The following is a 26,536-nucleotide window of genomic DNA, read 5'->3' on the forward strand; positions in this document are numbered from 1 at the left end:
ACCTATTTCTCAGCCATACTTACCCTGTCCTTTAAAGATGAGTTTGGGCCAGGTGCGGTGGCTCACGCCTGTAATCCCAGCACTTTGGGAGGCCTAGGCCGGCAGATCACAAGTTCAGGAGTTCGAGACCAGCCTGGCCAATATGGCGAAACCCCATCTCTACTAAAAATACAAAAATTAGCTGGGCATGGTGGCACGCACCTATAGTCCCAGCTACTCAAAATACAAAAATTAGCTGGGCATGGTGGCATGTTCCTGTAATCCCAGCTACTCAGGAGGCTGAGGCAGGAGAATCACTTGAACCCAGGAGGCAGAGGTTGCAGTGAGCCAAGACCCTGCCACTGTACTCCAGTCTGGACGACAGAGTGAGGTTTCATCTAAAAAAAAAAAAAGAAAAAAAAGATGAGTTTGGTGTAAATACGTGGAGGGTATTCTTGGCGGGGAACCCAAAGTGAGCAGCGAGGCTTGGAGGTGGGAATGGGAACAGGGATGGGAATAGCTGAAGCCAGATACTGGTAAATGCTGTTTAAGTCATACTGTAGGTTGTTCGTGGATAGTATATTCAGGGAAACAGAAAGGTGTGTCCTTGTGCCCGAGGTTAAAGGGAATCGTGCATTGGAGAGGTCATGGCTGGAAAAGTGTTGACATCAGTTTTTTAAAGCCCAGAGCAGGCCTGACCTCCAGGAGCCTTCTCAAACTCTAACCACTCCATGCCATAGAGCACCCTTCCTCCTTGAACCACCTGTTCCTTTCCATGTGGATCTCGGTCATGAGTTATTGAGAATGTGACCTTGCGGGCAGGGGGTGTCTATGAGAATGGAGAGAAAAGATATGAGAAATACTATAAAGACAGAATAAAGGACTTGGTCACCCTTTAGATATCAGAGGCTGGGCGCGGTGGCTCAGGCCTGTAATCCCAGCACTTTGGGAGTCCACGGTGGGCGGATCACGAGGTCAGGAGATGGAGACCATCTCAGGAGGCGGAGCTTGCAGTGAGCCGAGATGTCGCCACTGCACTCCAGCCTGGGCGACAGAGTGAGACTCCGTCTCAAAAAAAAAAAAAAAAAGATATCAGAAAGATTAGGTGTGGAGGAGCAGGAAAGGATGATTCCTTGGATGTAGGCAGTTGTGGGCAAAAGATTTTTTTATCCTAAAGTTTAAAAATTCACACGCACACACATAAAATGTAATGTACTGCTCAAAAGGTCATCACCAAGAGGACAATCATGTAGCAACAGCCTAGGGCAAGAAAGAAAACATTACCAGCACCCCAGAAGCACTTACGTGTCTCCCAGCATTTCCTTTAATTTAAAAAAAGACATTATTAATTTTTAAAAACATAGACTAAAGCAGCTCTTCTCATCCTTTACTCTGCTTGCAAGTAATTCTGACACTCAGTTAAAAAAATGTTTTTTACTCTAAAGGAACCCCTTTCAGGTCTCAGAGAAGCTCTGCTGAACAGTTTTGATATCTAACAGCTCATGGTACATTAATGTGACACTCAATCATAGATACAGTAATCCAGTGATAACTACCAGGGCTTTTTAAAGTAGACATCTATATTCTTCTGTAGATATGTCTATTTTGGCCTTCATAGCCTACTATTTCTCTGTGGCTGGCTCTCTCCCAAAGGACATCAACTATAATGCAAGGTATTATTACATTGCATGTTATTACATGTTAAGATACATTTAACTATACGTCAGGAGTGTAGGTAGAGGCAGCTTTAGTTTCTCTTCTTTGGAACTTCTTCCTTCTTTAGGTATAACTTTATTGAATTAAAGTACAATAAACTGCACATAATTAAAATATGTAGTTTTATTATTTTTGGACATATGTCTATGCCCATGAAACCATTACCACAATCAAGATAATAAACATTTCCAGCATCCCTGGAAGATTCTTTGTGTCCTTTGGCAATTCATTACTCTCTTTACCCTGATTCCCAGACTACCAATCACCTGCTTTCTATGATAAATTAATTTGCACACTACAGTATTTTGTAGGAATGGAATGATACAATGTCTACTCTTTGGTCTGGCTGCTGTCACTTAGCACCATGAGCTTGAGAGTCATCCATTTCATTGCACATTGCGGTTTCTTTTTATTGCTGAGTAGTATTCCTTTGCACAGAAATCCCACAATCTGTGTATCTGTTCACTGTACGATAACCCAATTTAAAAATGGAACATAGTTGGGTTATTTTCTAGATTTTAGCTATTACAGATAAAGCTAATACATACAAATTAAGCTTCATATACAAATTTTTACGTGGATATATATTTTTTCATTTCTTTTGGGTAAATACCTAGAAGTGGAATGGTTGGGTTGTATGGCAGTAGATGCTTAACTTTTTAAGAAACTGCCAGTTTTCCAAAGTGGTTGTACCATTTTATATTCCCACCTGCAGTGTATGAGAGTTCCCGTTGTTGCCGGGAGCGGATGCTCACACCTGTAATCCCAGCACTTTGGGAGGCCAAGCGGGGCAGATCACCTGAAGTCAAGAGTTTGAGACCAGCCTGGCCAACATGGTGAAACCCTGTCTCTACTAAAAATACAAAAAAATTAGCCAGGTGTGGTGGTGGGCACCTGTAATCCCAGCTAACTGGGAAGCTGAGGCAGGAGAATCGCTTGAACCTGGGAGGCGGAGGTTGCAGTGAGCCGAGACTGCACCATTGCACTCCAGCCGAGGCAACAAGAACGTGACTCCGTCTCAAAAACAAACAAACAAAAAAGAGAGTTCCAGTTGTTCCACACCCTTGCCTATGCTTGGGATGGTGAATCTTTTTAGTTTTGGCCAATTATGGCTGTGTAAGGACTAATGATGTTGAGCATCTTTGCATGTGTTTATTACCATTATAATATATTCTTGTGTAAAATATCCGTTCAAATCTTTTTCCTATTTTAAATTGGGTAACTTATCTCATTTTTAATTCAGTAGTAAGAGTTCTTTATATATTCTATATACAAATCCCTTGACTGACACGTGTGTTGCAAATATTATCTTCAAATTTGCCTTTTCTTTTTCTTAATGTCTTCTGAAGAGCAAAAGTTTTAAATTTTGATGAAATCCAATTTAACAATTTTAAAAATTGTTTCATGCTTTTTCGGTTCTGTATAATAAATCTTCGTCTACTCCAAGCAAAAGATTGTCTCCTGTATTTCCTTATAGAAATTTTATAGTTTTAGGATTTACATTTAGGTCTGTAATCCATTTTGAGTTATTTTTGTTTCATATGTGGTACATTTTAATCTTTATTACATGGTACATAATGTATCTTTTCTTTGAGTGATTTTAAGGTTCATTTCTATCACTGGTTTGCTACAATTTGATTTTGATGTGCCTTTGTGTCAGGGGTGTGTGTGTGTGTGTGTGTGTGTGTGTGTGTGTGTGTGTTTATCCTGCCTTGGGTTTATTGAGCTCTATGGATCTGTGAATTTTTAGTCTTCATCAAACTTGGAAATTTTTCAAGTATTATGTTTTCAAAAATTTCTGTCCCACTTCCCTGTTCTTCTGAGACTCACATTATATCTGTGTTAGGCTGTTTGATATTGTTCTGCAGGCCATCAAGGTTCTGTGTAGGACTTTCTTCTGTATGATTCATTTGAAAAGACTTTGTTGCTATGTCTTTAAGCTTACTCATCCTTTTTTTTGCAATGTCTAATCTGCTATTAATCACGTTCAGTAGAATTTTTATTTCAGATTTTTTTTGCAACTATGACAGATGAAACAAATATTGTTTTAATAAAATCTCTAGGTATTTCATTTGCCCCTTTTTTTAGTATCTTCCACTCTCCCCTCATTATGTTTTCCTATAAATACTTCAATATGGTTATAATGTCTGTTTTAATCTCGTAAATTTTAATTAGATGCCTAATATTGGGAATATTATGTTGTGGACTGCTTGAATTTTGTTGTTTGTTTGTCTTCCTCTAAATTGGTGCAAGCATGGTAAGGAGTTAAGTTGTTGGTAAATCACTTTCATCTTTCAGCCTGTTTTTAAGTATTGTTGGAATGGCATTAACAAATGCTTTCAATAAGGGGATAGGTCAGCACTACTGCCAACGTGCAACTGTTCTGTGCTCTCTACTGAAAGACTGATCACTGAGCACTTTTTTACTTAGGGTGATTAGAACTCAAATATCTTCCTGCTTTGGGAGGTCTGAGACTTGTTCAGCTCTCCAGTGCCTGCCTGTCCTCATGGAGTTTCACCCTGTTTCCCTTGCCTCCAGCCAGTACTCTTCAATGACTCAAGGACATCCATATGCAGATTTTTTTTTTTTTTTTTTTGAGACAGAGTCTCGCTCTGTCACCCAGGCTGGAGTGCAGTGGCACAATCTTGGCTCACTGCGACCTCTGCCTCCCGGGTTCAAGAGATTATCCTGTCTCAGCCTCCCAAGTGAATGGGATTACAGGCGCCTGCCACCATGCCTGGCTAATTTTTGTATTTTTAGAAAAGATGGGGTTTCACCATGTTGGACAGGCTGGTCTCAAACTCCTGACCTTGTCAAGTGATCCGCCTGCCTCAGCCTCTCAAAGTGATGGGATTACAGATGTGAACCACCTCGCACAGCCCATATGCAGATTACTTGAAATATTTTTTCTGCACTGGTCCCACCTCTCTAGAACTCTGTGCAGTAACTTGTAGCTGTCTCAGCCTCCCTATATCCTGATTTCTGTCTCCTCAATTCAGAGAGTCCACTGGGGGCTATTTGGGTCCCTTGTTCCTGGGCTCCCAGTTGCCTTCAGGCAGAAACCTTATCATAAACTTATCTAATTTATTTTCTTTTCCTCCATGATTACAGCCCTAATTTGCCTGCTATTAAATGTCTTAAAACAATTGTCTCATATATTTGTCCTGTTTTTCTGGTTGTTTATAGTGGGAGGATAAGTCATTCTATTATGGATGCAAACATAACTATTTATTATTTAATAAATAAGTAAAAAGTATATATACTTTTAACTATTTTAAAGTCCTTATATATAAATCCCATTATCTTTATCATTTCTGAGGCTGTTTTGCTGAGTATTTTTTTCTACAAGTTATGGGTCACTTTTTTTTTTGCTCTGTCATGTCTAGTAATTTTTAACTGGACACTAGACATTATGGATGTATCTTGTTGAGTAGGATTTTTTGGTCTTCTTTAAAGAATATCAGGTATTGTCCGGGCATGGTGGCTCACGCCTGTAATCCCAACACTTTGGGAGGCCAAGGCAGGCAGATCACAAGGTCAGGAGATCGAGACCATCCTGGCTAACATGGTGAAACCGTCTCTACTAAAAATGCAAAAAATTAGTCAGGCATGGTGGTGGGCACCTGTAGTCCCAGCTATTTGGGAGGCTGAGGCAGGAGAATGGTGTGAACTCAGGAGGCAGAGCTTGCTGTGAGCCAAGATCGTGCCACTGCACTCCAGCCTGTGTGACAGAGCAAGACTCCGTCTCAAAAAAAAAAAAAAAGTCAGGTATTGTTCTGTTATGCAGCTTCAGCCTTTCAAGGTTCGTTTAGGGCTTGCTTCATCATATTCCTCAGGTGTTGCCTTTCTGGGGTTTCTGCTAAATTGCCTAGGTATTCAACAAGGTTTCTTCACTCTGGCTAATGGGAACTAGATTGTCTCTAAAGTCCTGTGAGAGCTTGGTTCACTTTATAAGCTTATAGTTTGCCATAAACTGCACTTTTCTTTGATTCCTTGAGTCTTACCTTGTGCTGTGGAGCTTAGTATTCAGACAGAGACTCAAGGAACCCTGCAGAGGACAGAATAATGGTTCCTGAAAGATATTCACATCTTAATCCCCAGAACTTTTGAATATATTACTTTACATAGCAAAAGCAACTTTGCAGAAGTTATTAAGAATCTTAAAATGGCCAGGTGCGGTGGCTCAGGCCTGTAATCCCAGCACTTTGGGAGGCTGAGGTGGGCAGATCACTTGAGGTCAGGAGTTCAAGGTCAGCCTGGCCAACATGGTGAAACCCCGTCTCTACTAAAAATACAAAAATTAGCCAGGCATGGTGGCACGTGCCTGTAATCCGAGCTACTAGGGAGGCTGAGGCAGGAGAATCACTTGAACCCGGGAAGCAGAGGTTGCAGTGAGCCGAGATCATGCCATTGCACTCCAGCCTGGGTGACAGAGCAAGACTCTGTCTCAAAAAAAAAAAAGAATCTTAAAATGGGGAGATGATCTTAGATCATCTGGATGGGCTCAATGTAATCACAAGCTCCTTGTGATAAGAGACAAGAAGGTCAAAGCTGGAGAAAGCAATGTGGTAACAGGAATAGAGGTTTTAGTGATGCAGTCATGAGCCAAGGAATGCCAGAAGCTGCTAGAAGCTGAAGAGGCAAGGAATAGATGAACCCCCAAAGCCTCCAGAAGGAACCAGTCCTGCTGAGACTTTTACTTTAGTCCATGGAGGTTGGACTTCTGACCTCCGGAACTATGATATAATAAACTTATGTTGTTATTGAGTTTGTGGTGACTTGACACAGCAGCAATAGGAAACATGTACAAATCCCCTATGCACATTTCTGGAGCCTTTGCTCCGCATGCTGCCTTCTCTCTCACACTTCTTCCTGTATATTTCAGTCCCCTTCCCTTTCCTGGACTTGGTTTTGTTTCTCCCAAGCACAATGAAGTCACTGTGCTCTGCTCGTGTCCCCTCTTCTGCTCTGCGGTCTAGAAACTGCCTCTGGGAAGAAGGCTGGGGTGGTTGTAGGGCTCATTTCACTGGCTTACCCCTTTTCAGGGGCCACAGTCCTCTGATGGCTGTGATACAATGTCTGAACACAGTCCTTCCATATTTTGTTTCATTTTTTAAGTTGTTTATAGCAGGAGGGCTGGTCTGATAATAGTTACTTTGTCACGGCCAGAAGTGGAATTCTATTCAATTTTTATATCTAAAAGTTCTGTTGAGTTCTTTTTGAAACTTCTTGGGAATTAAATCTCTTGTTCTTTATTGATTTTTTTGGATTCCATCTTTCATTTTTTTTAAGCTTTGACAGATAGTTATTTTGATTTCCGTATCTAAGTCCAGTATATGAAATCCCCGGGTAACTAAATCTGCAGTCATTCTTTCTGCTGGTTCTCACTCATGGTGTGTTTGTTTTCTTCTGAGTGAAATGGTTTCTGATTGTGAACTTATACCTGATGGAAGTTAATCTGTGGGAACTTTGAGGGCCTCAACTGGGATGGCTGTTCCCCATAGATAATTTGTAGTTTGCTTATTCCAGGAGTCAAGGTGGGTGCGTCTCACCTAAGATGACCTTAGCTCTAGCTAAAGGGACCCTAGCCAATGCCAAGTCTGGAGTTCGATGCCTCAGTCTAGCAGATGGTCCTGGGCTTAGTCTGTATGTTCTAGCTCTAGAACAGGCATTTATTTGGTCCATGAAAGGTCTTCTTGATCATTGGCTTACTGGGACCATTCACACTTAGTTCCTTATACTTAGTTCCTTACTTACTTTGTCACCAATACTTACTGACTTCCCTTACTTTTTGGTATTGCAGATGGTATTGTAGTAGCAACATGTTTGTTTACTGTAGTGGAGAGTACTTCGAAGTACCTAGTTTGTTGTACTGCTGGAAGTATAAAAGTGGTACCTTTATATTTTCTTGTAATAATTTACTCTCTTTTGATGTTTTTAAAATTCACATGGAATTTACTTTGGGGTATGGCGTTAGGTAGGAACTAACCTTATGAAAATAGTGGATTGCCAAATGTCCCAAGTTCTCTTATTTTATGGTTCACTCATTCTCCACAAATTTGAAACTTCCTGTATCATAGTCTAAATTTCTCTCTTTTTTCCTATATTCTATTGCTTTACTGATGTTTGCCTCTTATGTCAATAGTGCTCTGCATTTATCTATATTTTGATATCAATTTTTCATAATTTCCCCAAATATATATATATATTTTTTTGATGGAGTTTTGTTCTTGTTGCCCAGGCTGGAGTGCAATGGCGCGATCTCGGCTCACTGCAACCTCTGCCTCCCAGGTTCAAGTGATTCTCCTGCCTCAGCCTCCCAAGTAGCTGGGATTACAGGTGCCCACCACCACGCCCGGCTAATTTTGTATTTTTAGTAGAGACAGGGTTTCACAGTGTTGGCCGGGCTGGTCTTGAACTCCTGACCTCGTGATCCGCCCGCCTTGGCCTCCCAAAGTGCTGGGATTACAGGTGTGAGCCACTGCGCCTGGCCTTTTCCCTGAATATTTCTTCTCTTTCATGTAATCCTTATAACGAGTTTCCTTTCAAATCCATCCTGTAGTAGCAACCCTATATCAACTATTGATAAATAGATGTAAAATATTACATGCTATGTATTCCACTTGCTAATAATCCTATTCTGTCTTATCTATTGTAAATTTTGGTCTCCCCAGGCCAAGTTTACTAATGGAACTTTACTGCATGACTTTGAAACTCTAGGCTCTTCTAACTGTTGGTACAAAAAGTCTCTATAACATAAGAGAAAATATTCCTCCTTCCCTTATTGTTGTAGAGAAAGGCAGATGGAATCCTGCATGATAAAACTGTTTCTGTATATGTTCTGTTTAACTAGGTAGTCTGAAAAGTCACTAGAACTTAGATACTATTGCTATATCCTGTGAAAGTGTTCCTTAACCTCTAGAAGATTTGTAAGTTCTGATTGGTTGATTTAATTAATAGCATATTGTTCTGGCAAAAATATTTAAATGGACATTTGTGTTTTTCAAAACGTATAAATACTTGTGAATACAAAAAGGGTCATGGACACTTCTCCCTTCTCCTCCATGCGTGAAGTAAGAAAAAATAAGACTTGGGCTAGATTTCTTATTTAATCAAAGATTTACAGTCTTGCCTCATTGAAATGAACAGCTGAGGCTGTGATGTGATTTGGATAAACTGAGCTGAAAGTAGAGCACTAAGGATAGTATGAGCCAATGTATGAGGCAATGAAAGGAATTAAGTTTTACTACGATTGATTATCAGTCAGGAGTCTCACCTGCCTCTGCCACGTGTTTCTAACCAGCAGGGAACACTGTTAAAGCTCTATCTTGCTGAGAAAAATCTAACATTAGGGCTTAGAGTAGGTTAAACTGCCATGATGGAGAGCTCCCAAACATGAAGTAGCTAGAACAGAAGTCAGTGAAGAACTCTACTCCACAATTCAAGAGCCCAGGTTCTTTTCATCTTGTCTTTCTTCCCCTCTAGTGTATTATACTCATCTTTTTTATTAAAACTGGGTTGTAACCAGCAGGAATGAGGAAGAGCAAATGGAGGGGACACAGTCTGGTCTTAGGGTGTTGAACTACAAGTGGCAGACATCACATCTGCTTGCATTTTACTGAAAAGACCAAGTCACGTGGCCATATCTAACTGCAAAGGATGCTGGGAAATATGGTGTAGCTGGCTAGTCATGTGACAGGCTATACTTTCAGTTGTATGGGATAAGGATAGAATGGATAGTGAAGGACAGATAGCAGTTTCTGTTACCCCTTTCCTTTCCATGAAAGAAGAGATTCCATATTATCTCCAACTTGCCACCAAATTTAATATTTTTTCATTGTTTGAATATATTTTTTTCTTAAGTCCAAACCCATATGAATTGAGAATTGAAATTCTAAGAGAATTCAAAGACCCTAGTAGAGACTCCAGCCTTTCTAGTAATGAATAGTATGCTTGCCAAAGTTGTTAATTCCCCCAAGGATTAGTGCTATGTATACTCCATGGATGACAAAGAAAAATAATTTCCTTCAGACAGCATCTTTGAATTGGAGGTGTTAGAAAATAAAGGTTGTAAGATATTTCAAATTAGATAGTTTCTATTTTGTTTAAATCCAAGAAATTGGTAAGTGCTTATAAAAACCTAAAATAAAAAATATCAAAGACTGCTTTATGGGTGTAGGGAGAAGTTAAGTAAAATTAAAAACAAAACTGATAATGTTTTACATATAATGATCTTTAAGAAAGATTCTCTCTACGCCAGGTGAAAAGGTAATAATTGTCAGAAAAAAAAAATGACGTCTTGGCCGGGCCTGGTGGCTCACGCCTGTAATCCCAGCACTTTGGGAGGCCGAGGTGGGCGGATCATGAGGTCAGGAAATCGAGACCATCCTGGCTAACACGGTAAAACCCTGTCTCTACTAAAAATACAACAACAAAATTAGCCGGCCGTGGTGGCGGGCGCATGTAGTCCCAGCTTCTCGGGAGGCTGAGGCAGGAGAATGGCGTGAACCCGGAAGGCGGAGCTTCTTGCAGTGAGCCAAGATCGCGCCACTGCACTCCAGCCTGGGCGGCAGAGGAGACGCCATCTCAAAAAAAAAAAGACATCTTAAAACTTCAGTGTTTGAAAAGAGAGCCAAGTCACTAATTATACTTATTATCTTTCAGAAATATATTACATAGCTTAATTGAATTAGTCTTGAAGGGACAGAATCTTATGGTTTTCATGTTGAAAAAGGATATTTTTAAGTGAAAAAATATCACTGAATTAAGTTATATGACATTTAATTAAAAGATAAATATTACGTTCTGATAAGGAAAAATGAAATCCATATAACTATGCAAAACAAATTAATACAAATTTATTAATAAAAATGTAATCAGTATTCTTATTTATTTATTTGTTTATTTTTTGAAATGGAGACTTGCTCTGTCGCCCAGGCTGAGTGCAGTGGCGCAATCTCGGCTCACTGCAAGCTCCGCCTCAGGGGTTCAAGCCGTTCTTCTGCCTCAGCCTCCCGAGTAGCTGGGACTATAGGCGCCCACCACCATGCCCCGCTAATTTTTTTGTATTTTTAAGTAGAGACGCGGTTTTACCGTGTTAGCCAGGATAGTCCCGATCTCCTGACCTCGTGATCTGCGCACCTCGGCCTCCCAAAGTGCTGGGATTACAGGCGTGAGCCACCGCGCCTGGCCGCAGTATTCTTATTTTTAAAAACATTCTATCTCTCAAAAGCTTTTGGATGAGTGAAAGGAAAATTCTAATCATTTCTGCTGAATTATAAGCTAAAGAACAAACATGTGAATTTATATCATGCCAACAATTAGTGGTCATAAAAACTCTTATTTTTTAAATTTTATTTTTTTAAGATGGGATCCTTCCATGTTGCCCAGGCTGGTCTTAAACTCCTGGGCTCAAGCGATCTGCCTGCCTTGGTCTCATAAAGTGCTAAGATTAGAGGTGTGAGCCACAATACCTAGCCATAAAAAATCTTAAAATGTTTTTATTTATTTATTTATTTACTTATTAGGAGACAGTGTCTCACTCGGTCGCCCAGATTGGAGTGCAGTGGTGGAATCCCAGCTCAGTGCACCCTCAAACTCCTGGGCTCAAGGGATCCCCCTGCCTCAGCTTCCCGAGCAGCTAAGACTACAGGTGTGCCTCAACAAATCTGTATTTTACTTTTTGTAGAGATAGGAGACTCACTTTGTTGCATAGGCTGGTCTGGAACTCCTGGTTTCAAGTGATCTTCCCACCTCAGTCTCCCATAGCCTTTGGATTGCAGGCATGAGTTATTGTGCTCAGCCAAAAATCTTTAAAGAACACTTTATATTTAGACTTTTTTTTTTCTTTTGAGACGGAGTCTCCCTTTGTCACCCAGGCTGGAATGCAGTGGTGTGATCTCGGCTCACTGCAAGCTCCGCCTCCCAGGTTCACACCATTCTCCTGCCTCAGCCTCCCAAGTAGCTAGGACTACAGGCGCCCACCACCATGCCCGACTAATTTTTTGTATTTTTAGTAGAGATGGGGTTTCACCGTGTTAGCCAGGATGGTCTTGATCTCCTGCCCTGGTGATCCGCCTGCCTCAGGCTCCCAAAGTACTGGGATTACAGGTGTGAGCCACTGCGCCTGGCCTGTATTTTAGACTTTTAATCAAGATATAGATGAGTGTAATAGTACTCAGTAAGAGAAAAATGAGAGAAGTATATTTTAATAACTCTGTATTCCAAATCAAGGCAAACTCTCCGATTGATTAAATTTGGGGGGTACATTTTGGGTAAAAGATGGCTCTTTGTGGTGTGAAAATCTGGAGATTTTCCCCAGTGAGAAATAGAAATGCAAAATGATATTTTAGCTCATGCAAGGATATAGATTTTTTTAAACGGCAAAGTAATTGTAACTTCCTAAATTTGCTTTATAAACTGGTTCTTGTATCAGATAAAATGGAAAAATATTTGTATCTACAGAGTTAAGATAAAAAGTTTCAAGATGTCATATTTTTCTGACAAATGCTTATTTTCTCTTTTTCTTTCCTTTTTTTTTTGTTGTTGTTGTTTGTTTTTTGTATTGAGACAGTCTCACTCTGTTGCCCACACTGGAGTGCAGTGTCACAATCAGTGCTTATTTTCAATAGTGATTGTGTTCTATGGTATTAACATAGGGCACTTTCTAAATTTCTTAATTGTTTAGGGACCATAATCTAAATCAAAATTCAGATAATTGAGTGAGTAATTTTACTGTATGCAGAGGCCACTAGTGAAATTAAAAAATCACTGAACACAGAAAATAAAACCCATGGTCATTGTGCAACCCTCATTTGTCTTCTTGTGTAACATATTTAATTTCTTAGAAGAGCTGGTAAAACTCATTTAAAAGAACTGCTGCTTCTCATATCGATATGTTTCTCAAGCCTGGTGAGCAGCGGTCCCCAGCCCCCAGGCACCTCTGGTTGATGGCCTGTTAGGAAGCAGGCAGCACAGCAGAAGTTGAGCGCTGGTGAAGCAGCTTTACTGCCTGAGCTCCACCTCCGTCAGGTCAGCAGCGACATTAGAGTCTCATAGGAGCACAAACCCTATTGCAAACTATGCATGGGAGGGATCTATGTTGCGTGTTCCTTATGAAAATCTAACTTATTGCCTGATGATCTGAGGTGGAAAAATTTCACCCTGAAACCAGCCTCCTCATCCCCTCCCCATCCATGGAAAAACTGTCTTCCATGAAAACTCTCCCAGGTGCCAAAAAGATTGGGGACCACTCCTGGTGCAGGCTGAATCTTCCCAGTACTCTTAAGGGACACAGGGTGTGGATGGGGCATACGTGATGCACAGTCCAGCATTCTTATGTTTCCAAGTCTGTGCAAGATGTCAAGAGCTTTATGGCATCTAAACTTCTTTTGCATCATCTAAAACTCTATTGGGTAATTTATTGTCCAATTCAGTAAACTAGTAGAATCACATCCAGATGTACAAAACAATACTCTGAATGCATAATCTCTGTTAAATCTACCCATGTGGAGAAATTCAGCCTAAGGTAAAATAATGTTCCTCCCACTTGGTGGATCACCCTCAAAATCCACTTTCCAAAAGAGTCCTCGGAATTGTGTTGACGTTAATAAACAAATATCTCAAATGCTGTCAATATGCAAACTTCCACTTTCAGAATCTGATTTTACATTTTACCCCATGAATGTTGAAATCCCATTCTGATTATTGCCTCATGGTAAGGAGGAGGACTGGAGGGAAGTTATTCCTTCTTTTTCTTGTATAGGGTCTCCCTCTAGAGAAGCAGTAACAGTTTGTCCAAGCCATGGAGAAGAGACTTTTCAGGAAAGGAGAGGGAGAGGCTCATCTCTGTTTGGGCGTCAGGAGCAGGACTCTTCTTTGGCAAGCCCACTTGCCTGTGGGATTGCACCTAATGGGGAAAGTCAGAAGATAACGTTCCTGTCAACTTTATCTCCAGGCAGCAACCCTGGAGTGACAAAACATGTCACTCCTCATTCCCCTTTGTCTGTACCCCTTTCCCCTTCTTCCTCTTGCTCACTCATCTCTAGCATTATTTATTTATATTTGTGTGAATTTGTAGGGTACTAGTGCAATTTTGTTACGTGCATAGATTACATAGTGGTTAAGTCAGGGATTTTAGAGTATCCATCACCTGTATAAAGTACATTGCACTCATTAAGTAAGTTCTCATCATCCACTCCCTTCCACTCTCTCATGCTTCCAACTCTCTATTGTCCATCAGTCCACACTCTACGTCTATGTGTATGCATTTTTTTTTTTTTTTGAGACGGAGTCTCACTCTGTCGCCCAGGCTGGAGTGCAGTGGCGCGATCTCGTCTCACTGCAAGCTCCACCTCCCAGGTTCATGCAATTCCTCTGCCTCAGCCTCCCGAGTAGCTGGGACTACAGCTGCCTGCCACCACACCCGGCTAATTTTTTTGTAGTTTTAAGTAGAGACAGGGTTTTACCGTGTTAGCCAGGATGGTCTTGATCTGAATACCACGGAAACGATATGCCCTTTTTGGTGCATCCTACTGAGAGGCCCAGAATGTCTGTGTGTCTGATACTCGCCATGTGAACCTTGACCACTGGGTTAAGTTGATGAAATTTCTACACTGTACACTTTGATGAAATTTCTCCACTTTATAGTTACCGTCTTTCTTGTTGTAGTTCAGTATCTTGGGGGAGACTATGTACATTCCATTCCCCCCAAAATTTCACCCACTAATTTTTGCCTCTACTGTGGGATTGTGTCTGCAGCCTTTATTCCTGGTGTTTGCCTGTTGGCAATGTTTCTATCTTCATTTCTTCATTGGAATTCTGTGAAGAAGCATCATCTCTTCTCCATTTGTTTATTGATTTTTGCCATTACTAATATCAGCATGATGGATATTCTATTCTGTGGGTTAAAATCTAATATCATCCTTTATTTTGTTGCTCAAATTATTCCATCCTTGGCAATTAGGAGCTCCTTCAGGTTGGGTCCTGTTTGGACAAATTCCTTCCTTCCTTCCTTCCTCCCTCCCTTCCTTCTTTCCTTCCTTCTTTTCTCCTTCCTCCCTTCCTTCCTTTCTTCCTTCCTCCCTCCCTCCCTTCCTTCCTCCCTCCCTTCCTCCCTCCCTCCCCTCCTTTCCTTCTTTCTGTTACTACCTCTTCACTTTCTGGTATACAAGATGCTCCAGGCTCGTCTTCTATGTTCTCTGCCCCAGCCCTGGAGTCAGTCACTTCCCCTGAGAACCCTGATTTCTATTACTGGAAATTGGAGCTTAGGGACCAAGCTCTGGGCACAAAGCATGCTCATTGTTATAGGGTGTCATTGTTTGGCTGCTCTGATGAGCAGAGCCCATTTAAATTTTGTCAGTTGTCTGAGATCTCCTGTGTGCAGGGTCCTGTGTGGCCCTGGTGCAGCAATGATATTCTACCTGGTGTCTTGCTAATGGAAGCTGCTGGGTTGCAGATGAAGGAAGCCCCAACCAAGCCCCAACCAGGCTGGTTGGTTGAAGGAAGCCCACTAAGCAAGAGTGGCAGTGGCACCCCCTCAGTGAGGGTGGCAGAGGGACCTGGACCTGACCCACCACACAGTGTGGGGAACCTGGAAGTTTTTCTGGGCCCCAATTCCCTCTTGGATGGAACTTGAGCTTGTGCTAGATGAATGTGGAGGGCAGGATCCTTGAGGTCTTCCAGGCCCAAGACGTAGCACATAGCAAGATCCAGTGGTCCAGTGTGCTGTCACCACCATCACCCTCCACTGGGCCCTTGGCCAGGCCTGTGGTCTCCCTAAGGTGCAGGAGCAATGGCAGCAGCCCCTCGAAGAGCTACTGTAGGGCTGATGCCAGCATGCACGCCAGACTCTTGGGAGAGGGTTGGAGCATGGAGTTCACACAGCACAGGGAACTGTGGTGGGGACCTTCACTCTGGCCAGTACCTGAATGTGAACATCAGAGCATCCTCCAGGACAAGGAGGGGTGAGGTCCATGTTGTCCCCAGGGTCAAAGAGGGGGTAGTTGTGGAGATCCACACTGGGTTAGGGTAGTGTTGGGCTGCAGAGGTGGAGCAGAGAGCTGGAGGATGTTGGGATCAGCTGTGTTAAAGAAAAAATATTCCTGGTGCTTTTTAAAACCCCATAAGGCCAACTTTGTTCAGGCCCATTGAGATAGGTACAGGGTCTTGTAGTGGGAGAGAGATATTTGGCTCAGTTCCAAACACAGCATGGACAACTGGGGATTGAGAGCCAAGAGCAGGTTGGGGGTTGCCGGATGGAGAATGACGGAGGGAAAACAGCAGGGGGAAGGGCCATTCTGGCTCAAGCCGCCTAACAGGATTGTTGCTGAAAGCTGGCCACAGCGACCAGACAGCACCCAGGGTGTGGTAGGGGATGGGGAGTCTGGCCAGTTAGTGAAGGTGACCAGATGACTGAGGATGGGGTATTCTGGCTAAATTGATTTAGTAGGATCCTTGATAAAATTGGACAATGGAGGCCAGGTGCTGTGGCTCACGCCTGTAATCCCAGCACTTTGGGAGGCTGAGGCGGGCGGATCACCTGAGATCAGGAGTTCGAGACCAGCCTGGCCAACATGGTGAAACCCCCTCTCTACTAAAAATACAAAAATTAGCCAGGCATGGTGGCAGGTGCCTGTAATCCCAGCTACTTGGGAGGCTGAGGCAGGATAATTGCTTGAACCCTGGAGGTGGAGGTTGCAGTGAGCCGAGATCGCACCACTGCACTCCAGTCTGGGCAACAGAGGGAAACTCCATCTCAAAAAAAAAAAAAAAAAAATTGGACAACGCAGAGACAAACATAGAAATCCCCAAATCAGGGCTTGGTTGAAAGAGAGTTCAGTGGAGCCTGAGTAGAGTCTAGTTAAGGAGAGAACCTTGTCAGCTGCCCTCATGGCTTGGGGCCTGGAGTCTTCTCTCCCACAAAGTCCAGATGTCAAAGCTAAGAGGACACCAGGCCGGGGACTTGACTGGGCTTCTGGGTCCCCTGATGCAAAGTGGAAAAAGTGTCTAAGTTGAGGTTTTGTAACACGCCATTTACCAAGGCTGAGTTGGCACTGGTCTTAAACAGCATATTCCCAGAACATTGACAGGCGGATGCTGCCCTTACCATCATTCTGCCATGGGCCTATACACAGACCAGCAGCTGTGGGCAGGCAGCCTGCCTCAGCCGGGTGGAAACACTGTGTGTTTCCCTGTGTTTAGTTCCCGTGGGTTTGCACAGCTGGTAATGATAGGATTGGGGATCTGGGATGCATCATCCCGGAGTGCTGGAGCCTTGGGTGGAGCTGGAAAGTGGAGCTGCAGGGACAGAGTAGGGAGGCAGTGAGGCCCTGACAGGGAGGGCCCTGGTGGCAAGGAGACATCATTTCATCATTTTGCAAGTGAGGTCCCCCCGAGGGAGTTTCTGGAGCAGCGCAGGTGTCAGTAAAGCATCTTTCCCACATTCTGGATGCCTGGCAGGTCTACCCTCCCTGGTGTCCCTTACCTGGCTGTGGCGGCCACCAGCACTCTGACCTGCCAGCATCTTCAGGTCTCAGTGCTGTATTCCAAGAGCCATCGCCACTGAAAATTAAAACTGCCATCCCCTCCAGATGCAGTCCAGAGGGCAGGAGGGGCAAACTGGACTAGGTAGCGGGGTGCTTCTTGAGGCCACCTGGGGAAGAGCATTCTCTTTCAGGGACCCTGGTGTCCCCAGGGGCTGACAGGGCTCCACCGATTCAGCTCCAGAGCCTACCAGGGCTGGCACTGAGGTCAGAGAGCCCAGGAGTCCAGGAAGGAGAATCTTGGAGCTCCCATGTCCAGGGACACTCACTGCCCACCCTCACCCAGAACTGCTGCTCCCGAAGGATTTTACACATCGCTGACGGAGATGAGCCAAGTGGGACAAGCAGTCTCCATGACTGGAATAGAAGGGCTGCTGTGGGGCGCCCCTGATGGCCAGCTGTGGGGCCTTGTCTGAGCCACACCCTCCTCTGAGTCTCAGTTTCCTCTTCTGTGGAACAGAATTAATGATGGACCACCCAGGAGCAAATGATATCCTTGTGTGAGGGCCTGGCACGTACAAAGTATTTAGAACTATGTATTCATCATATATTCCATGTACAGATGGATATGCAGTTATTTCATAAAGAGTTCTTATTTAATTCCAATTTAATATGTAATACTTTACTCCTTCCTTTTGACCAGTTGCTACAGAAAGCAAATTCTGTTTTGTGGTGGGCTTTCACCTCAGGCCACTGATTGGTGTGTTATATGTTATATAACATATAACACAGCACAGTGTGTTATATGTCTATGTAGGCTCTCAGAGGGAGGCTGCCATTCCTAGGCTGCTGGGCCCTGGCAGGTCAAACACAGCCAGTGCCCTGTGGCCACGTGCCCAGATGCTGAAGCTTGTTCCTGGCTCAGCAGTTTGGAAACAGTTGGTGCCACCACCTGTTCCTTCTCCTCCAGAATCAGACCGGAGGGTGGAGGCTAGCAGGAGCGGGTGTGAGACCATCCGCTGGAGTGACAGGAAGCTGCAATTGATGCTTCTCCTGTGAAATGTCACAAGCTCATGGCTGAAAGTTGCAAAGAATGGAGAGCATGTCCAGCCCTCTGGGATGAGGCACTCACACCTTTGTGCTCCTAGGTAGCAAAGGAGGACTATCTTATTGGTGTGGGCAGCCGCTTGGATATTTAAAAACCCAACAAATAAAGCTTGGAATTGAAGTGTTTCTTCATTTTTCTGGGGGAAATCCACATTGCTCAAACCTCAAGTGAAGACACCTTTTCTTTGGTGAGGCTTTTTTTTTTTTTTGAGATGGAGTCTCACTCTGTTGCGCAGGCTGGAGTGCAATGGCGCGATCTCAGCCCACTGCAACCTCTGTCTCCCAGGTTCAAGTGATTATCCTGCCTCAGCCTCCCCAGTAGCTGGGATTACAGGTGTGAGCCACCACACTGGGCTAATTTTTGTATTTTTAGTAGAGACGGGGTTTCACCATGTTGGCCAGGCTGGGCTCAAGTTCCTGACCTCAAGTGATTTGCCCACCTCGGCCTCCCAAAGTGCTGGGATTACAGTCATAAACCACCACGCCTGTCCTTGCTGAGGCTTTTGAACACAAAAGTTGCCATGGGCTCAGGCCATTTAGGGCTGAGTTCCATGGTAACACGTGGCCAACACTTTCCGGGCAGGCCAGGGACCACGTTGTGGGGCAGGACTTGGGGCTGACCCTGGACATATTGCAGCTGTCACTCTCCTTAGTGTTTTAGGAGTCATGAAACAGCTGTTCTCTGAGAGGTGTGTGAGTTTTGGGTGAGAAGACCCAGATTTGGATAATTAAATGACACTGCCTAGGGAAAGTACCTGGAACATAATGGATACTTAGAAAACAAAGGAAATTCCTTTTTTTCCCCCCCGGTTTTAGTTTATTATATATTACTTTTTTTTTTTTTTTTTGAGACAGAGTCTTGCTCTGTTGCCCAGGCTGGAGTGCAGTGGCACAATCTCGGCTCACTGCCAGCTCCGCCTCCTGGGTTCACGCCATTCTCCTGCCTCAGCCTCCTGAGTAGCTGGGACTACAGGCGCCCACCACCATGCCCAGCTAATTTTTTGTATTTTTAGTAGAGACGGGGTTTCACCGTGTTAGCCAGGATGGTCTCAATTTCCTGACCATGTGATCTGCCTGCCTCGGCCTCCCAAAGTGCTGGGATTACAGGCGTGAGCCACTGCACCCGGCCTATTATACATTTCTCATCACAACAAAAGAAAACAAGAAGAATATTTGCACAGAGTCCCACCATGTACTCTGTCCCCTCCACATGTGCAGAAATAGTTTTGACCAGGTGGTAATTGCAGCTTTCATGATTCTGTTTTCATTGTTTGCAGTGTTTTCCCATGTTGCCACATAACACTCCTGATTATTTTAACAGCCACATGGTATTTTGTGCATCAGCTCTTCAGGAGCAAAAAACCATTTAGTGAGACAACAGCATTTTTCCTAGACCACGAGTCTATGTTTTTATTTGTGGGATTTTTCCCGGCATAGCGAAGGCCAGATCAGGACAGCTAGAGTGTGGAACCCAGAGCTGTCTCCACAGGAAGGGATGAGAAGCACAGGATTACCTGGGTCCCGAGAGCTATCCCCGGGCATTGCCTTTTGGTCCAGACACTGCGTGGGAAGTCACCTGCCATGTGGGAATGTAGTGACCAATTGGCAGCCCCGTGAGGCTGACCCTGTGGGACTGGGGTGCAGGCTGCCTGCCACACTGCTGGTTCTTGCCCAACACAAGTCCCAAGAACAAACCAGAAATGCGGACCCACAGGAGGTCCTCAGCTTGACAGACCTGCGCTCCCCTTGTAAGAACAAGGGGTCTGGGCCGGGTGTGGTGGCTTACGCCTATAATCCCAGCTACTCTGGAGGCTGAGGCAGGAGAATCATTTGAACCTGGGAGGCAGAGATGGCAGTGAGCCAAGATCACGCCATTGCACTCCAGCCTGGGCGACAGAGTGAGACTCCATCTCAAGAATAATAATAATAAAAAAAAAAGAACAATGGGTCTGGAGGGTCTTGGGTCCACATGCTCTGGGTGGTATGTGGTGTCCTGGGTTTGCAGGAATTTCTCTGTCCCTCTGTAAGATAGGCGTGTGAGAGTGTAAAAATGAGCCATTGTTCATGGTGCCTTGAGACTATCTGGGCAGAGTAGGGTCTGTGGCTCAGGGCTTGGTGAGAGAGAGGCCCCCATCGGAGAAGGGAAAAAGCGCTCGATTGCTGATTTCCACCCATGTCTACCTCCTGTCAGGGACCGCAAGGGCAAAGAGTAGAGAAGCACCAGCAAAGAACTGGCTGGGACCCAGGAAGGACAGGGTGGGAAGAATCCCATGGCCATAGGAGAACATTTATTAAAAGCAAAAATGTTGCAATATGTTTCAGGGTGAGAAAAACACACCTAAAATAACAGGCCTGGTAGAGTCTGATTAAAAAATAAAAAGCACATGTAAATACTGGAGTAGTAGAATGGTACCAGCTGGCATGAACAGAGCAATGAGCGGGAGCTGGGCTGTGTGTGCATTTGTGTCCCATGGAATTCTCTGGCAATGCTGAAGGAGGCCCGGCTAGATGTAGATGTCCACTTTACAGCTGAGGGTAACAAGGCCCCTCGCTTGAGGTGTGGGCCGAGGCTCGGACCTCGGTTTTGGCACTTAGGGACATCCTTTTCCTTCAAAATGTTTTCTCTTCATTGCTTTTTTTTTTTTTTTTTTTTTTGAGGCAGAGTCTCTCTGTCACCCAGGCTGGATGGAGTGCGGTGGTACAATCTCGGCTCACTCCAACCTCTGCCTCCTGGGTTCAAGCGATTTGAACATCATACACATACTGCTGAGACCAGCTCTGTCCGGGAGACCCTAACCCAGCGGCACTGGAGGAATTAAAGACACACACACAGAAATATAGAGTGTGGAGTGGGAAATCAGGGGGTCTCACAGCCTTCAGAGCTGAAAGCCTCGAACAGAGATTTACCCACATATTTATTGACAGCAAGCCAGTGATAAGCATTGTTTCCATAGATTATAGATTAACTAAAAGTATTCCTTATGGGAAATAAAGGAATGGATAGTTATCTGCAGCAGCAGCATGTCCTTAAGGCACAGATCGCTCATGCTATTGTTTGTGGTTTAAGAACGCCTTTAAGCGGTTTTCTGCCCTGGGTGGGCCAGGTGTTACTTGCCCTCATTCTGGTAAACCCACAACCTTCAGCATGGGCGTCGTGGCCATCATGAACATGTCACAGTGCTGCAGAGATTTTGTTTATGGCTAGTCTTGGGGCCAGTTTATGGCCCAATTTGGGGGCCTAGTCCCAATACATACCACAACACAACATGCACACATAAACCATACACGCACCATGCATACAACACACACTACACATTGCACACACACCCCCATATCACACACACAACACACAACATACCACATATACAACACAACACATACCACACCACACAAAAACCACAAAACATACCATACACACATCACATCCCACATACAACACATACACACAACACACATACACCACAAAGCGCATTACACACACCATACATCAGATACACTATACACAGCCTACCACACATACACACACCACATATACATGCCACACGCTGCACACACACCGCACACACAAGCATGCACAGCACACACACACACACGGCACACACACGCACATGCACGCACAGCCTCTGCACCAACACCTCTTTAAGCAAGTGCCTATTTTCCACTCCACCCTCTCTAAGCCTGGAGGAAAGTGCACACACCTAAAAAGGGGTTTCCTTGTGGTGAAGGAGCAAAGAAAGTTACTGCTGCCCCAGGACCCTCTAGAAAGTCTGGCAGAGGTAATGGCTCCGGGCAGAGGTGTCAGGAAAAATAAACAGCATTTCCCCCTTGGCCTAAGGGACCCGCTCCGCCCTCAGCCCCCAGCCCTTGTTGTCATGGAGAGCGGCCTGTGCACCCGAGCCGGCGCCCCTAGCCCTCCCACTGGCTCTCCGCAGGCGGCTTTGTCAGGGCTCAGCGTCCCTGCAGCTGCCGGGAGAGGAGGAGACAGGGCGGCTGCCTGTGGGTGCCGCGGACCTTCGGGGCGGGCCAGGGAGGCGGGACCGCTCCTCAGAACCCCAGGGGCTTCAGTCCTGGGCTGATTGGCGCGGGAAGCACAGCCCGGCCCTCCAGGTCCCCAAGGAGACCCCAGCCTCCTGCTGCCCACTGTGAGCGACCTCCCCGGGGCTCCTCTGGAAGCGGCTCCGGCAAGTATCGAGTTTGCCTGTGCGGAGCTGGGGGAGCCTCCGGCTTTCCTGTTTGCTTTGTTAATTATTTTCGTCCCCAGAGGAAGGCGGTGAGTAGGTTACATTGGAAAAGGTGGCAATTTTCGCTTGTTTCAGGTGGCTTTGAGATCCTGTGTGGGCTCATTTTTCTGGGTGTCTGCGGCTGAGCAGGGCTTCTCCAGGGGGCGGGCTGGTGAGACCCTTCTGCAGAAGGAGGAGGTGACTGCCTGGTGTATACTTTGAAGAGGGGTTTTAATCAGCTTTCTGCCCCCTCCTGAGCACAGCCCAGTGGAGACTGAGCTGAAGAAAACCACCTTGGCAGTCCTCGCGGTGGGTCCTGGGACCCCCGGCTCGGGAACAGGATTCTCCAGGATACCTACTGAATGATTAAGTGCTGGGCTGGACTGTGATGAGACCTGTTTTATTTCTGGACTTCTCCACCCTTCCCCATTCTTCCCATTTCTTTTCAAATGGATGGGAAAGGAAAATAGTCTGCTTGAAAAAAAGAACACATATCATTGCCTGGGCGATTGCCATGGCAACGGGGACCCCATGTCGGATGCTGAGATTGTCTTTTCTTTTTGTTACCTTATTCTTGCCACTCGGCATTTCCCCTAAGTGTCACTTCTCATAAGGGAGAATATAAAACCAGGGCGAAAGCGGGTGCTTTGGAGCTGCTAGGCAGAAGTTTGAGGTTCATTAAGACCTCCAGTTCTTCGGATAGACATGGGCCGAAAGAGGCCGCAAGGCTGGCCGTGTCCCTTTTTGTAGTTCGTGCCTCTGGTCCTTGGGGATCCATGTTGTCCCGGCTCTTTGACTGCATGTTTCCTATGCTCTGTGTCTGTGAATTAGGGCAGTTAGAATGTTGTCATTTTCTGGGATGGCTGGGAAATACAGGTATCATTGCCTAAAATCAGTTTGAAGTGTAAACAATGAGTGCGTGTGTGTGTGTTACATCTATGTATGTGTGTGCACAGGATTTAATGTTGTGAACTATTAGGATGACAGCAAACTCCAGCCCCAGTGAGGTTGACCCTCTTTTTCATATTGTGCAGAAAGGTTAAACATTTCTCAACAGCAGGGAAACCTGGCTGCTTTCTGGCCACTGTCCATAGCTCTTCTTCCCAGGCCCTTGTGTTGGGGCAGGGGTGGTCAGCTGAAGGCCAGCTGGCTTTGGACACAACGCCTTCTCTGTGTTGTGCCCAGGGTCCCAGCTCATTCACTGAGAGTTAGCAGCTCACACCATCTGTTCTGGGATTGGGCTGTGTCCCAAGTATCCCTCCTCATCCTCAAACCTCAGGACTCACTGGGCAGAGGTTGGGCTGGGACTGGAGGCCTCAGTTTCCTTATCCGCAAAATGAGGGTTATGACAGCTCATCCCTTGGGCCTTTAGTTGGGCTCCTAGGGGACTGCAGGCTTCTTCAAGCCCATCGTGGTACTGGCTTTTCTCTGGACACCCCAGAGAGGGGGTCACACATGATCTGGGGGAGGTCAGAGCAGGATGCATCCTCCTGTCACCATGAAGCACATGTGCTGAGGGACTGGTGCCTGGAAAGGGGAGCAGTGTGGAAGGAAATCTGGCCTCATCCCGTGGACCAGTGCCTCAGTTTCTCCATTTGTAAATGGGGCTATGTGTCACCCACTGGTGGCTTGCTGTTGGGTGAAAGAGCTGAGGACTGCATTTTTGCTGTGTGTGACCTATATGGAAGCCTGTCATCCATGACAGTGTCTGACAAGCGCCTGCCAGTCTGCAGCGGGGCGTCCGTCCACTCTGGCTATGGGGACATGTGGGCCCATTTCCTCATCATCCCTGCGTGTCCCTTCCCAAGCTCATGAGCAACAGTGCTGACTCAGTCCTGCAGCATCAGTTCAGTCTTGGGGTGTCGTCATTCTCCAGGACATCCCAACGAGGGATATCCAGCAGCCTTCCTTGAGGGTCCCACCCTCAGGGACAGGATGGGTTTGGGTGGTAGCCATAGCTCCACAGTCTCAGGTTGCCCAGGGCCACCAGGCAGCGGCTCTTGGCCCTGAGTGTATCTGTGTGGTCCAAGAAGAGGCGAGGTGCTTGTGTGTGCAGAAATGTGCCAGGAAGGACAGGGGAGACTCAGGCTTCCTCCACAACACCCCTGTTCGAGTGTGCCAGTGAGGGGTGGGGCTCCCTTCTCCCACCACAACCCTCTGAGGAGCTCTCCCTGTCCTGCTGGCCAAGGAGCCCTGTGCCTACCGGCAGAGGCTCAACTAACCAACCAACTAACCAACAGCTGACCAACTAACCAACCAGCTAATTCATCAACTCCCTTTCTCTTCTCTGTTTTCTCCTTTTCCTCCTACTCCCTCCTTTTCCTCCCTTCCTTCCCCCCTCCCTTCTTTCCTTCCTCTTTTTTTTTTTCTTTTTCTCCTCCCTTCATCTGTTCACCTGTTATTCCAGGAAGGATCTGGTTCAGCATAGAGTGCAAAGGATAAAAAGAAGCAGGTGGGGCCAGGCACAGTGGCTTACGCCTGTAATCCCAGCACTTTGGGAGGCTGAGGCAGGTGGATCACGAGGTCAGGAGATCGAGACCATCCTGGCTAAGACGGTGAAAACCCGCCTCTACTAAAAATACAAAAAATTAGCCGGGCATGGTGGCGGGTGCTTGTAGTCCCAGCTACTCAGGAGGCTGAGGCAGGAGAATGGCTTGAACCCGGGAGGCAGAGGTTGCAGTGAGCTGAGATCGGGCCACTACACACTCCAGCCTGGGCGACAGAGCAAGATTCCATCTCAAAAAAAAAAAAAAGCAAATGGGTAAAAAGTAAGAGCAGGAAGAGCAGGTTGGATTTGCCAGACAGAACTTGTCATGGGGATGACGAAGTCTGAGGACACTGGGGAGGCTCCAGCCCCACGCAGCTTGGCAGTCCTTGCTCACAGAGGCCAGGACTGTTCCGTGCGGATTCTGGACTTGGACCAAAACTCCTGGGTCCCTGACTGATGGTGGGGAAAGAAGGGGGCAGGAGGGGTTCATTCAAGGCTGGCAAATGTAGCCCGAGTCCCTTCTGACCCCTGGTAGGGCCCTCATGAACTGTGGAGGCTGTGGTAGTCTGTGGCTAGGGTGCCTGGTGACATTTGGTCTAAAGAATTAAATCCAGTGCAGATGAGTCCACCCAGGAGGAATCTGTGGACGACAGCCCCTAAGTGACCTGGGGACGGCTCAGGGACAGTGCTGCCCTTTCTGCCTAGGCAGATGGAAATGGAGCCAGGGTCCTTGTTGTGCCACGTCCCCTGCGTCCAGCACTGGAGATTGGCTTCTCCCCAAGATCTGGCTGCCCCTGGCCTGCTTGGGCCCTGAAGAGAATGAGGAGAGGCAAGGGTGCCTAGGAGAAAGGTGGTAGAGGTGGTGGGAGCCCTGCAGGCTGAGGGTTGTGGCCAGGGGCTGCTGAGACACCAAGTTGCTCTGGGGGTCCCGCTCTAGGTCTAGTGTGTTCATGAGGGAATTCCAACCGGCCTTTAAGGAATGTGGGGCTTTTAGAAGGAAAATGGTATATAGCATACTAATATGTGCTTGTTGAATGAATACATGAAGAAGGCCTTTTATTTTTCTAGTTACTGATATCCAGTAATTCTAAGTATTCCTAGCTTGTCTTCTCTGGGTAAATTACTTTGCTTCTCAGAATATGCCAGCTAGACACAACCCATAAGGTAGAATTTTTCATTGAAATGTGTCTTACGTGGAACTTGTAACTTCCTAAAATAAAGTTGTGTAGCCAAACAGGATGGCTCATGCCTATAATCCCAACACTTTGAGAGGCCGAGATGGGTGGATGGCTTGAGTCCAGGAGTTCAAGACCAGGCTGGGCAACATTGTGAAATCCTTGTCTGCAAAAAATACACAAATAAGCCAGGTGTGGTGGCATGCGCCTGTAGTCCCAGCTACTCGGGAGACTGAGGTGGGAGGATTGCTTGAACCCAGAGGTTGAGGCTGCAGTGAGCTGTGATTGTGCCACTGCACTCTAGCCTGGGTGACAGAGCGAGACCCTGTCTCAAAAAAATTAATTAATTAATGAAAGTTGTGTAGATTT

General features: G+C 45.7%; 1 protein-coding gene across 1 annotated transcript in view, besides 2 other annotated features; it reads left to right on the plus strand.

Annotated features, from left to right (window-relative positions):
- Positions 17,005 to 17,174: an enhancer, noted in NCBI's record as "experimental_109845 CRE fragment used in MPRA reporter constructs". NCBI's record gives its function as "activates a minimal promoter by MPRAs in K562 erythroleukemia cells, with activity observed for both the introgressed and non-introgressed 9:95704547 or rs80268057 variant alleles {active_cell/tissue: K562}" and the evidence as "EXISTENCE:reporter gene assay evidence [ECO:0000049][PMID:34662402]".
- Position 17,090: a transcriptional cis regulatory region, noted in NCBI's record as "Neanderthal adaptively introgressed variant 9:95704547 (GRCh37/hg19 assembly coordinates) or rs80268057 in the experimental_109845 CRE". NCBI's record gives its function as "modulates activity of the experimental_109845 enhancer by MPRAs in K562 erythroleukemia cells {active_cell/tissue: K562}" and the evidence as "EXISTENCE:reporter gene assay evidence [ECO:0000049][PMID:34662402]".
- FGD3 (FYVE, RhoGEF and PH domain containing 3) overlaps positions 22,348 to 26,536 on the plus strand; it is an 88,711-nt gene continuing 84,522 nt past the window's right edge. Inside the window, exon 1 of the mRNA NM_001083536.2 lies at positions 22,348 to 22,554. The gene's annotated coding sequence lies outside the window, so the exon portion shown is untranslated. The remainder of the gene's footprint in view (positions 22,555 to 26,536) is intronic.

Source organism: Homo sapiens, chromosome 9 (assembly GCF_000001405.40).
Source record: "Homo sapiens chromosome 9, GRCh38.p14 Primary Assembly".
NCBI classification, from domain to species: domain Eukaryota; kingdom Metazoa; phylum Chordata; class Mammalia; order Primates; family Hominidae; genus Homo; species Homo sapiens.